Source organism: Homo sapiens, chromosome 3, assembly GCF_000001405.40.
Source record: "Homo sapiens chromosome 3, GRCh38.p14 Primary Assembly".
In the NCBI taxonomy this organism is placed as follows: domain Eukaryota; kingdom Metazoa; phylum Chordata; class Mammalia; order Primates; family Hominidae; genus Homo; species Homo sapiens.
Window position 1 is genome coordinate 160,519,129 of NC_000003.12, and position 12,270 is coordinate 160,531,398.

Consider the following 12,270-nt stretch of genomic DNA (forward strand, 5'->3'; position numbering starts at 1 on the left):
TAATAGGGATTGTGTTTAATCTGTAGACAAACTTGGGAAGCACGGTCATCCTAACAATATTAGACAATCCATGAACATGAATGTCTTTCCATTTATTTAGGTCTTCTTTAATGTTTTCCAAAAATGTTTTGTAGTAGCCTAGCTTCTTTAACAAATAAATTGAAAAGAGGAAAGATAAAAGAAAGGAGAAGAAAGTTGCACAGTAAGAGGCTTAAAATATATAGCAAGCAGATGCAATGTGTGGTCTTTATCTGGATACTGATTTGGTAAAATTGTGAAAAAATAATGAAGCAGTAAATAAAATCCAGATACTGACTGAATATTTAACATTAAGGTTTTAAAAAGTCTACTAGTGGTATTGTGGTTATGTTAAAAAAAATAGGCGGCCGGGCGCGGTGGCTCACGCCTGTAATCCCAGCACTTTGGGAGGCTGAGGCGGGTGGATCATGAGGTCAGGAGATCGAGACCATCCTGGCTAACAAGGTGAAACCCCGTCTCTACTAAAAAATACAAAAAATTAGCCGGGCGCGGTGGTGGGCGCCTGTAGTCCCAGCTACTGGGGAGGCTGAGGCAGGAGAATGGCGTGAACCCGGGAAGCGGAGCTTGCAGTGAGCCGAGATTGTGCCACTGCAGTCCGCAGTCCGGCCTGGGCGACAGAGCGAGACTCCGTCTCAAAAAAAAAAAAAAAAAAAAAAAAATAGGCTTAAATTTTAGAGCTGCAAGCTGTGTAAAATGATATCTGGAATTTGTATCAAAATAAATTTGGAGGAGTAGAGGTACAGAGAAAAAAGCTACATGGGGTTCCATTACACTATTTTATTTTATGAAATTATGGCATGAAAGTTGAAAAGTATAAGAAAATCTCTATAAGGTGTCAGGTAGAGTAGAGAATTTCAACTTTCTTTGAGCACTGGCTAAAGGTAAATTCCAAGCCCTACAGATCCTTAATGAAGTCCATTATGAAAACTGAAGATTATTTCTGGAAAAACAAAAAACAAAATACAAACCAAAATTCTGTACCAAGACATAAGTACCACACAAAATAAATACAAACTTAAGGATAAACATATGGCAAGAATATTTAAGATAAGTCATAAATAGCCTTAAATGACAAATTATTGTTTTTTCTTTTTTTTTTTATTGAGATGGAGTCTTGCTCAGTTGCCAGGCAGGAGAGTAGTGGCGCAATCTTGGCTCACTACAACCTCTGCCTCCTGGGTTCAAGTGATTCCCCTGCCTCAGCCTCCCGAGTAGCTAGGTCTACAGGCACATGCCACCATGCCTGGCTAATTTTTTTTTTTTTTTTTGTATTTTAGTAAAGACAGGGTTTCACCATGTTGGCCAGGATGGTCTCAGTCTCCTGACCTTGTGATCTGCCCACCTCGGCCTCCCAAAGTGCTGGGATTTCAGGCGTGAGCCACCATGTCCAGCCAATTATATTAATTCTTTCTGTATTTAGCTAAGTGTTCCTTCTTTAAAGTGCTTTAATTTTAAGGTACAGGGTCTCTAATCTGACTATGTATCAGTATCACCTGAAGAGCATTTTAAAGCTCAAGTTTCTAAGAAATATTTTCTGAAACAGAAATCTCCAGGGGTTGAGCAGGAGAAATTAAAAACAGCTCCACACAGTTTATTTTGATGTTCAGGCATAATGACTTAGGCTACAGACTAACGGTTTCTCTTATGCGATTATTGTACTTTACAGATTCTAAGCCATTAGCAGATTAAAATATACTATTTACCTCAGAAAGGTAGAGGGAGCTTGCTGCGTCTCCCCCATTACAACTGTAGCTTAACAGCTACTGCTTATATCTCTGAGAACTTCTCACACTCTGTTTTTGGCTCTTTCTAAATGCAAATTCTTTGGGATAAATATTATGTGAAAGAATTTAAACAATAAAAAATAAATTTAAATAAGTGAAAAGCAACAATTTAGAAAGTCCCTAAACAGCACATTTCAGTAGAGTACCCTTATTTCAGCACCAATGAAGATAAGAGTTAACTAAACTTGCCAGGTGAGTAAATAAGGATGGTTGGCAAGGAAGAAAAAAAAAGAAGTAGGGAAGTGAAAGAGGAAGAACAAAAAGAAGAGGAGTAGGAAAAAATAAGTGTCTGTCAATACTTGTTTCAGATGCCATGCATGTTGCTATAATGAACTTCCCTGGTCTACATTAAAAATCAGTAATCCGGCCAGGCATGGTGGTTCACACCTGTAATCTCAGCACTTTGGGAGGCTGGGGTGGAAGGATCATTTGAGGCCAGGAGTTCAAGAGCAGCCTGGCCAACATGGCAAAACCCTGACTGTATCAAAAATAGAAAAAAATTAGCTACACATGATGGTGTGTGCCTGTGATCCCAACCACTCAAGAGGCTGAGGTGGGAGAATGTTCCTTGAACCTAGGAAGTGGAGGTTGTAGTGAGCTGAGATCACGCCACCTCACTCCAGCCTGGGTGACAGTGAGACCCCATCTTAAAAAAAGAAATTAGTAATCTACAATGGCATCTTATTATTTATTTTCCCCTTTCCATCACAGATTTGTTGTTATGCTAAGAATATACTTTAAACTACTGAAATTGTCCATCTTTGAATGCCATGCTTAAAGCAATTAGTGGTAAGAAATACTTATAATTTAACTAAGAACAAACTTACCTGAACTTTAACTTCCTGGTGGCTGAGCAGAGGAACCAAATGAGGAACTATTCCAGAGTCTATTACCATCTGTATTTGTTCATTGCCAGCATCAGTAAGGTAAGAGAGGGCCCAGACTGTGTCTACCAGTATCTAATGAATAAAATAAAAATTCAAACAACTTTTAAATATTTTCTCATTTTAGTAATTCTTGACCAAACAACCATTCTAAAATTGTTCAACTACCTTCTTCCTTCTTTTCTTCTCTCAGTTTAATTCATTGGAATCTGATCGCTACGGTATTAAACATCATCATCTATAAATGTCTGTACTAAGACGTACATCTTTTAGCCATATTCAGGATTCTGATCCCAGATTAGTATCCAATCTTAGTTCACTAAGATACACACGCACACTACACAGCTCATAAAACAGGAGAAAAAGACATTCTCTTTCCCAAAGGCTGAGGGATAACAGGTCCAAAAACATTGTGGCTCATGTATAAAGCTGGAAAGACTACATGTATCCAACATGCACAGTTGTTCAAAACATCTGGGCTAGATGAATATATTCAAGGAGTTCTCTAGTATTGTAAGTACCATGTAGATATGCCTAAAGCCAATAACCCAAGTATTCATATTGTAGTATAAAATACTTTAATCTTTTCCAACCAGTTTGTTTTGCCTTACAGAACTGGAGACAACTTTTTTTTTTTTTTGAGACGGAGTCTCGCTCTGTCGCCCAGGCTGGAGTGCAGCAGCGCGATCTCGGTTCACTGCAAGCTCCGCCTCCCGGGTTCATGCCATTCTCCTGCCTCAGCCTCCCGAGTAGCTGGGACTACAGGCGCATGCCGCAACGCCTGGCTAAGTTTTGGCATTTTTCAGTAGAGACGGGGTTTCACCGTGTTAGCCAAGATGGTCTCGATCTCCTGACCTCATGATCCGCCCGCCTCGGCCTCCCAAAGTGCTGGGATTACAGGCGTAAGCCACTGCGCCCGGCCAGCAACTTCTTAAATAGTGGAAGTCCCCTACAGCTGCAGATCAAGACATTAAAATAATCATAGGTCAATCTGTGAGACCTGTAATTAAAACAAAAAATACGTACTTCACTACAGCTGCTACTTATGAAAAAAAAAAAAAAGCCTGTGTAATCAACTTCTACTAAGTAGCCTACCATTTTTTTTAACGATTACATCTTTAAGTACAACAGGCCATGTGTTTGATCTTTCCTAGTACGTTAGGTCCTAATTAGAAGTTATGACCAAAGGGCAGTATGACAAACAACTGTAACTGCTGCAAATAAATACACAAATTATTGACAAAGACATGGGAATAATAATTGTGCCTAAAACTACTTCCAAAGCCTTTCCAGAATATGAACTCTGTGTCAAGACAAGCTGGAGAAGTGTAAAACCTTTAAAACAATAAACTAGGCAGGGAGTAGTGGCTCACGCCTGTAACCCCAGCACTTTGGGAGACCAAGGCAGGTGGACTGCTTGAGCCCAGGAGTTACAGACCAGCCTGGGCAACACGGTGAAACCCCGTCTCTATGAAAAACAGAAACAATTCGGCATTGTTTATTTTTTCTTGTTTTTATGACCCTGACTTTAAAAAAATCGTAAAACTGTAAACTAATGTTATGCTTAGGACACCCAAGAGAAAATAAAAAAATAAGATAAAAAAAACCAAAAAGACACCCCGAAACTCCTAAAAGGTGAAAATAATGCTTTGCCATTGTTTCTTAGGAAATTCAAGAAAGCTCTAAGGATATTTCTAATGTAAAAAGAAGACATCAAATGAGAGTTCGCACAGGCTGGGTGTGGTGGCTCACGCCTGCAATCCCAGCACTTTGGGGGGCCAAGGTGGGTGGATCACGAGGTCAAGAGTTCAAGACCAGCCTGGCCAACATAGTGAAACCCTGTCTCCACTAAAAAATGCAAAAAAATTAGCCAGGCGTGGTGGCGGGCATCTGTAAACCCAGCTACTCGGGAGGCTGAGGCAGGAGAATCGCTGGAACCCAGGAGGCAGAGGTTGCAGTGAGTGGAGATCATGCCACTGCACTCCAGCCTGGGAAACAGTGCGAGACTCTGTCTCAAAAAGAAAAAAAAAAGAATTCACATAAAAAAATGGTATCAATATATGTGAAAAAACCTAAATTTCAATTTGCAAATGTAACTGAGTTTCTTTTCTGGAATATTAACATATGCTAAAATTTGTTGACATAGGCCAAAAATTTCAAGTTACTTGCTCATAACTGTATATAAAAGCTAGATACATGTTTTTAAAGGACATGTCACTAATATGCTCAGATCAAAATCATAATTCAAATCAAACTTCTAACACATTATTTAGTAAGCAATATTATTTGTTAATCATGTTACTAAAAAGAACAATGTAAACAGGCTTGAGAAATTCTTCAAGATACATCAAAGGCAAGAAAATGGAGTCACAGTCTCATCTAGATTGGAGTAAATAGGTGGAAAGAACACAATCTATCTCTAAATAAAGTCAACCAAGATGTCTTGTTTTCTAGTAGAGGTATAAACTTTGAAGTTAAATCTTTCTTGCCAATCGTTTTATTTATTTATTTATTTATTTATTTTTGAGACAGGGTCTTGCTCTGTCACTCAGGCTGCAGTGCAGTGACATGATCACAGTTCACTGCAGCCTTGACCTCCCCAGCTCAGGAGATCCTCCTGCCTCAGCCACTGAGTAGCTGAGACTACAGGTGCACATCACTATGCCTGGCTAATTTTTTGGTATTTTTCATAGAGACAGGGTTTCGTCATGTTGCCCAGGCTGGTCTCGAACTCCTGCACTCAAGTGATCCTCCTGCCTCAGCCTCCTAAAGTGCTGGGACAATAGGCATAAGCCACCACACCTGGCCTCTTGTAAATCTTTCAAAGCAAAATATTGAAATTCACAATTTAATCAAAGAACTTGGCTATTAAGGAGCCAAAACCAAAAATTACTTACACATTTTTTAAGATCCTAAACTATCTGGGGCTAAAAACAAACAAAAACTCTACCACAGAGATCATGTTCATCTAATGAATTTTATATATTATGTCACTGTTTGATACAGTAAAATTCTAATTTTAATTTGTTCCATACAAATTAAATTCTGGCCAAAAGGCATAGGCCTTTAAATTGTAAAGAAATGAAGCAGCTTGTCCAACACTGGTCACCATGCCAAACTGTTTTTAAAGAACCACATGAGTTCCTGATTGTTGCTAAACATTTCATTCATGTGTTTTCCCTTACCCATTATATTCCTGGTTTCTCTAACACACCAAAGGCTGGTCTGGCTTTTACAAGCACTCAGGGCAGTTTTCCACCTCATTCATACTCCCTGAGTTGCTTTTTCCTCTGCCATCTGTGTTAGTAAAAATAAGCAAAATATATTTGCTATGTTTAAAATCTTGCCTGCACTGATTTTTTTTTCCTGTTGTTTGGATAATCAAGTTATCTTGATAAATGAAGCCACTGCCAGTCACTGTAACTGAGAAATAGAATAAAAATGGAATTAAAGGGCAATTGATGTCCATGGTTTGGTATGTGTATATGAATACAAATCCATGCACAAACATTTTCCTTTTTCATCTTTCAAAAAACAAAAATAGCACTATTTGTGTGTGCTTTCATTGGCCAAACTGTCAAAATGACCTTCTGTAAAAAGCACAAGAACAATTAAAGACATGATCTTAGTAAGAGAAATCACCACTATCTGGCAACTTTAAAAACTTTTAATGTCAGTTTTTATAACACTAATATATACACATACATACAATATTGTCCACACCAAAATAACAGTTATGCTTGATTTCTTAACTGGTATTATATTTTGTGATATAGATAAACATAGAGTAAATATTAAAATATTATAAAATAACTAATCTAATATAAAATAACTCTTGAAATGGGAAAATCTGATAGTATGCTGACACAATGTGTTAGTATAATATTTCTCCCCTATGTCACAGGGGAAGCCCTAGAAATACATACATACATACATAAATATATAATAGGACACATTTACTCACATTTACATCTGTGTGATGAATTAAAACACAAAGGGCTGGAAGAATCTGAGGAGAGAAATATGTAGATTTAAAAACATACACAAATAAAAAATATATATATAATGGTATCTCTTTTAATTTTTTTTTAAAAGTGTTTACCTCCTGAATGGTTTCCATTGGTGGTGGTGGGTCTTTGTGGCGACATAAGTTGACCATAACCCAAGTAACATTTCTTAAGAATGTTATAGGAATAGATGGACTTATGAAGGAAAGTAAAGGTTTCACAACTCCAAGACTTATGACATAATCTCTACACTGGGGCCCATCACCTGTAGAAAAAAAGGATTAATTTACTCAATAAAACATACTGACAGTAAGCATTTTCAGAAAACACAAAGCACTGGGAATATGCTGCTTCATGTATTTTATCCAGATACACTGTTCAGTTTTAGACAATAACAAGCAGGCTCACATTCAAGGTCTCTGAGCCAAGAGAGGCAACATAAAGTGATAAGGTATTCTTTTGCACATTATTCCCATCTTCAGCATTTTGCTGCTCACTTAATTAAACTGCTGCTTTTAACTTCTCTCTCAACAATACTCTTGGTTTAACAAACTTTCATGTGATAAAAAAGATGTATCAAGAAAATATTTGTTGAATTTGTACTTATGATCCCGTATCAGAGCATCAAGGTTATGAACTATAAATTACTCTATACACTTAGAAAACTATGTCAGAAGAAAAGGGTGAACCAGTGCTAGAATAGTGGTTCTCAATGTGATTATTGGGCTCTAGCTCAGGCCTCCTGAAGCAGAAACTCTATGGGTTTGGAATTCTGTGTTTTAACAAGCACCCCATGTAGTCCTGATTGCATGCTAAGGTTTGAGAACCACTGCTGCAGAGAACTGCCAAGTTTAATTTCTGTATCTGAAGCATCACTGCAGTTTCTAATATGAAGCCATGTTGAAATGTTACCATAAGTGAAAGCACCTTCCCTTGCACTATAATATCTGGAGATAAAATGTTTGTTCTTTTTGCATCTTTATATTCATGTTAATTACGGAATGTCACTGGAATAAAAAAATGAAAGATCAAGATGCTGTATAATAGCTCTAAATCTAACATTTGGTATAAAAGCAAAAGAGTGAGGGAGTCTGGATATAGAAACAATAGCATTCCTAATAGTATAAACCCAATGTCAAGAATGGTTTACAGAGAAATTCTCCCTTAAAAACTCATAACCACTCTTTACTTTCATGTTGGCCCTGTATAAGGGCAATAAAGAGATGGCATATCAAAGCAACAATGATTATTTCCATGCAAGAATAAAGAATTTGGCAAAAATAATCTTTAGAATCATTCTCCTTCACTAGATTAGCAATACCCCTACAAACAGTACCTCAGCCCCCACTCATAACTGTTAGGTCTCTGAGCTATACTGGGGCACAATACAATTCAGATTTTTTCCATCCTTTACTGGAGAATAGTTCTTTGAATTTTTGAGTTTAGGCTCTAGTTAAAAAAACAAATCCTTGAAATATCAGAATTGTCTTTATTTTCCTTACAATTATTTATCAGAGAGAACCTGAAAGTTATAGTAATCACAGTGTTAAATATTTAACCAGACTGTCAAAAGGCTATGGTTATGTCTTGTTGATTCATGGTGACAGGAAATAATATTACTATATTTTATACATTACTAAATTCTAATGTACTGAAGTCTGCAAGAGAGAAAAAATTTCATTTTAGACTCTTCTCAGAACTGTCATTACGGAGAAAAATTATTGGTTTAAGTTTTGTCTTTTTTCTTGTTACTTTCTTTGATGGAGAAAGCTGAGAAATAAAAAGGGACCCCACTGATCAACATGGGGGTTAGGGGAAGAAAAAATGGATCCTAGCATGAGACAGAAGGTCTAAATTGTATACATCTTGCATAATTATTCAAATAATTAAGAGCTAACTATATACCAAAAAAATGGTATCTTAAGCAACAAAAATTCTATTTACTATGACTTTATGCTTTTACAGTAATACAGTTCAAATTTCTGTAAGCTATTTCACAAAAACTAGTACTGAAGGCAAACTGTTTTCTCTTTTGGATTACTAGTAGCTATTTTTATTACTTAGTATATGATAACAATTTTTAGACTAGTATTACAAGTTTTATACAAACCTATGATATTTCCCAATGCCCACACTGCTTGCTCACAGACATTCTGATGGGGTGAATGGAGAAGCCTCAGGAAAAGTGGCACAGCATCTGATGGAAGAAAAAATAACAATACTTAAGGTTGAAGATACCATAAACCAAAAATCAATCTTTATTTTTTTGCTGAGACCTCAAAAAAAAGGGAACCTATAAAAATATACTTAAAATATAACCTCATTAAATGAATTTTATTGGAATAGCATCATTGGAAGAATTTTGACCAGTGACTATTTACTCAGTATCAAAATGAGTTATCCAGACAAGTGTTAAATTAGGCTTGTGAAATTTCATTAACAATTAAACCTGGAATTAATTTCAAGATTAATTCCTTATAGATTATCTGTAGTTTGAAAAAAAAAAGTACATTATTGAAGTAACTTTTTTTTTGTTTTTTTGAGACGGAGTCTCACTCTGTCATCCAGGCTGGAGGGAAGCGGTGGAATCTTGGCTCACTGCAACCTCTGCCTCCCAAGCTTCAGTGATTCTCCTGCCTCACCCTCCCAAGTAGCTAGGACTGCAGGTGTGAGCCACCATGCCTGGCTAATTTTTGTATTTTTAGTAGCGACAGGGTTTCACCGTATTGGCCAGGCTGGTCTCAAACTCATGACCTCAAGTGATCTGCCTGCCTTGGCCTCCCAAAGTGCTGGGATTACAGGCATGAGCCACTGCACCCGGCCTGAAGTAACTTTTGAACACAAATTTATGTTAACAACATGTGGGTCTTTAAGACAGGCCAGTGATTCCTGGGCCATGTGGGATCTTCCGAATCAGAAAGTGATTCTGTTACTCAACAGGATGGGAAACAGAGATAGGTCTGTATCTGAACAAAATACTGCACTGAACAAATGATTCTTCTTCTTTCCTTCTGATATTACTTTAAAAAGCACTATTTAAGTATATGTAGCTCAATCATGCTTGTAATATCATAAAAGGTAATTCACTTATGGGTTTGTTTTTGAGATAGTGCCTTACTCTGCTGCCCAGACTGGAGTTCAGTGGTGTCACCACAGGTCACTGCAGCCTTGACCTCCCCTGGCTTAAGTGATCCTCCTACCTCAGCCTCCTGGGTTGTTGGGACTATAGGTGCATGCCACCAAGCCCGGCTAATTTTTTTTTCCTGCATTTTGTAGAGATGGGGTTTTACCATGTTGCCCAGGCTGGTCTCTAGCTCCTGGACTCCAGTAATCTGCCTGCCTCAGCCTCCCTAAGTGCTAGAATTACTGGCATGAGCCACCATGCCCAACCTCATTTATTTATTTATTTATTATTTTTGGTATATTAAAGCAGACTAGCAGGGTCAAAAAAATTCTAAGCCTCTTTCTAATCTTTAGAGAGCATACATAACAGAAAGGAAAAAGTGTGAGAGGGAATAAAACATTGTTATGAAACCAAAAATTTTCCTAAGAGTCAGCTATACAAAACCAAAAAACCACAATAAAAACCACCTGAACCCAAAACCAAACCAGTTTTAATAGGATGTGAGGTAATTATCTTTTCTAAGTAATATTACAACATAAGTGTCTACAGTAAAATGATTATTTGGATAACATCTTTGTTCCCCTTCAAAATGTACAAATTAGTGCTTACATTTTTAATAAGCTCAGAGAAGTATGCTGCTTACATATTTAAAGAGGATTTTAAAAGTATCTTCTTTAAAATTATTAATTTCTTTGTTTGGTAGAACAATCAAATACTATTCATGAAGACAATACACTCGGGTTCTTACTTCCAATAATTTTCCACTTACATTTCTTGAAACAAAAAAAAGCAATCCTATTATAATAACAATGAAAAAAAAATTCGAGCCATTCTTTCAACTAGGACTACTTTATAGAAGATTTCTTTAAAATATATGATATGGCCGGGCGTGGTGGCTCACACCTGTAATCCCAGCACTTTGGGAGGCCGAGGCAGGCGGATCATGAGGTCAGGAGATCGAGACCGAGACCATCCTGGCTAACACAGTGAAACCCCGTCTCTACTAAAAATACAAAAAACTAGCCGGGCGTGGTGGTGGGCGCCTGTAGCCCCAGGTACTTGGGAGACGGAAGCAGGAGAATGGCATGAACCCGGGAGGTGGAGCTTGCAGTGAGCCGAGATCGCATCACTGCACTCCAGCCTGGGCGACAGAGTGAGACTCCATCTCAAAAAAAAAAAAAAAAAAAAAAAAAGAGAAAAATCTCATTAAGAGAGGCTGAGGCCCGGTGTGGTGGCTCATGCCTATAATCCCAGCACACTGGGAGGCCAAAGCAGGTTGATCACTTGAGCCCAGAGTTAGAGACCAGCCTGGGCAACATGGTGAAACCCTGTCTCTACAAAAAACACAAAAATATTACAAAAATTAGCTAGGCACAGTGGCACATGCCTGTAGTCCCAGCTACTTGGTGGACTGATGCGGAAGGGTCTCTTGAGCCTGGGAGGCCGAGGCTACAGTGAGCTGAGATTGTGCCATTGTATTCCAGCCTGGCCAAAAGAGTAAGATCTTGTCTGAGAAAGAAAAACAACAACAACAAAAAAACAAAAACAAAAAAAGAGAGGCTGAGAGGCAATGTGGCAACAGGAAAAACTCCTTTATTTCTACTGATGTCCTATAAATAAAGTGTAACAATAATAATGTAATCTGCTACTATAATTAGGAAATGTTCTCATATTTAGAAAGGAATCAAGTGAATTTTTGGAAATACAAAAAACATCAGTCACCAGAATAAGAAGATTAAAGTAACATACTTAAGTTGACCTATTTCAATAACTACGTAGTAGCTATTATTTTATAATTTAAATTGCCATAGTCTTTTGGGAAGATCACTATTTTTTACCGACTTCTTTTAAAAAAAATCACAATTATGTTTATTAATAACCAACTTACTGGACTGAACTACTGCTTGAGTTTGTTCAGAAGTTCCAGATGCAATGTTTGTCAAAGCCCATGCAGCTTCAAACTGTAAAGAAGGACTACAAAAAAAAACAAGTATTTTTAAACAGCAGGGATTTTTACATTGGGCCAAATATCTAACCATTCTTCCTTCTACCATTTAAAATGCATTAAATATTTTGTTTCAAAAGTTATCTATCCATCCAGCATATTTTTTTAACCCTCAACAACTGTTTAAAACATCTCTTCAGTATAAAAAGCATACAACCTCCTCCAGCATCCTGATTTTTAGTAAGAAATCTTTTTTAAGATACTTGCATACTACTCCCCAAACAGTTTTCTCAAGTACCTATCTGGTCAAACTAGTTCTTGCCAATTTTCAAAGCATAAAAGTTAAATTTATCATTCTCAAGTTCCTTTTTTGGCTACTACCTTCATCTCTTGGTGTTAACAAACCTTGCACTGCTTTTCACTTTGACTTTTCAACTCCATCCCATAGCCCTTTTCTTCTTTCTTTAAAGATCAAACTAATTACTAG

The 12,270-nt window shown here is 37.3% G+C and overlaps 1 protein-coding gene across 1 annotated transcript in view; it reads right to left on the reverse strand.

The window, feature by feature from the left end:
• The window catches only part of KPNA4 (karyopherin subunit alpha 4), a 70,565-nt gene that overhangs the window by 24,122 nt on the left and 34,173 nt on the right, over nt 1–12,270 (reverse strand). The window contains exons 7-11 of the mRNA NM_002268.5: nt 11,727–11,812; nt 8,825–8,911; nt 6,810–6,979; nt 6,672–6,716; nt 2,651–2,782 (exon numbers count right to left, since the gene is read on the reverse strand). Of these exons, the coding sequence (NP_002259.1) occupies nt 2,651–2,782; nt 6,672–6,716; nt 6,810–6,979; nt 8,825–8,911; nt 11,727–11,812 (520 nt within the window). The remainder of the gene's footprint in view (nt 1–2,650; nt 2,783–6,671; nt 6,717–6,809; nt 6,980–8,824; nt 8,912–11,726; nt 11,813–12,270) is intronic.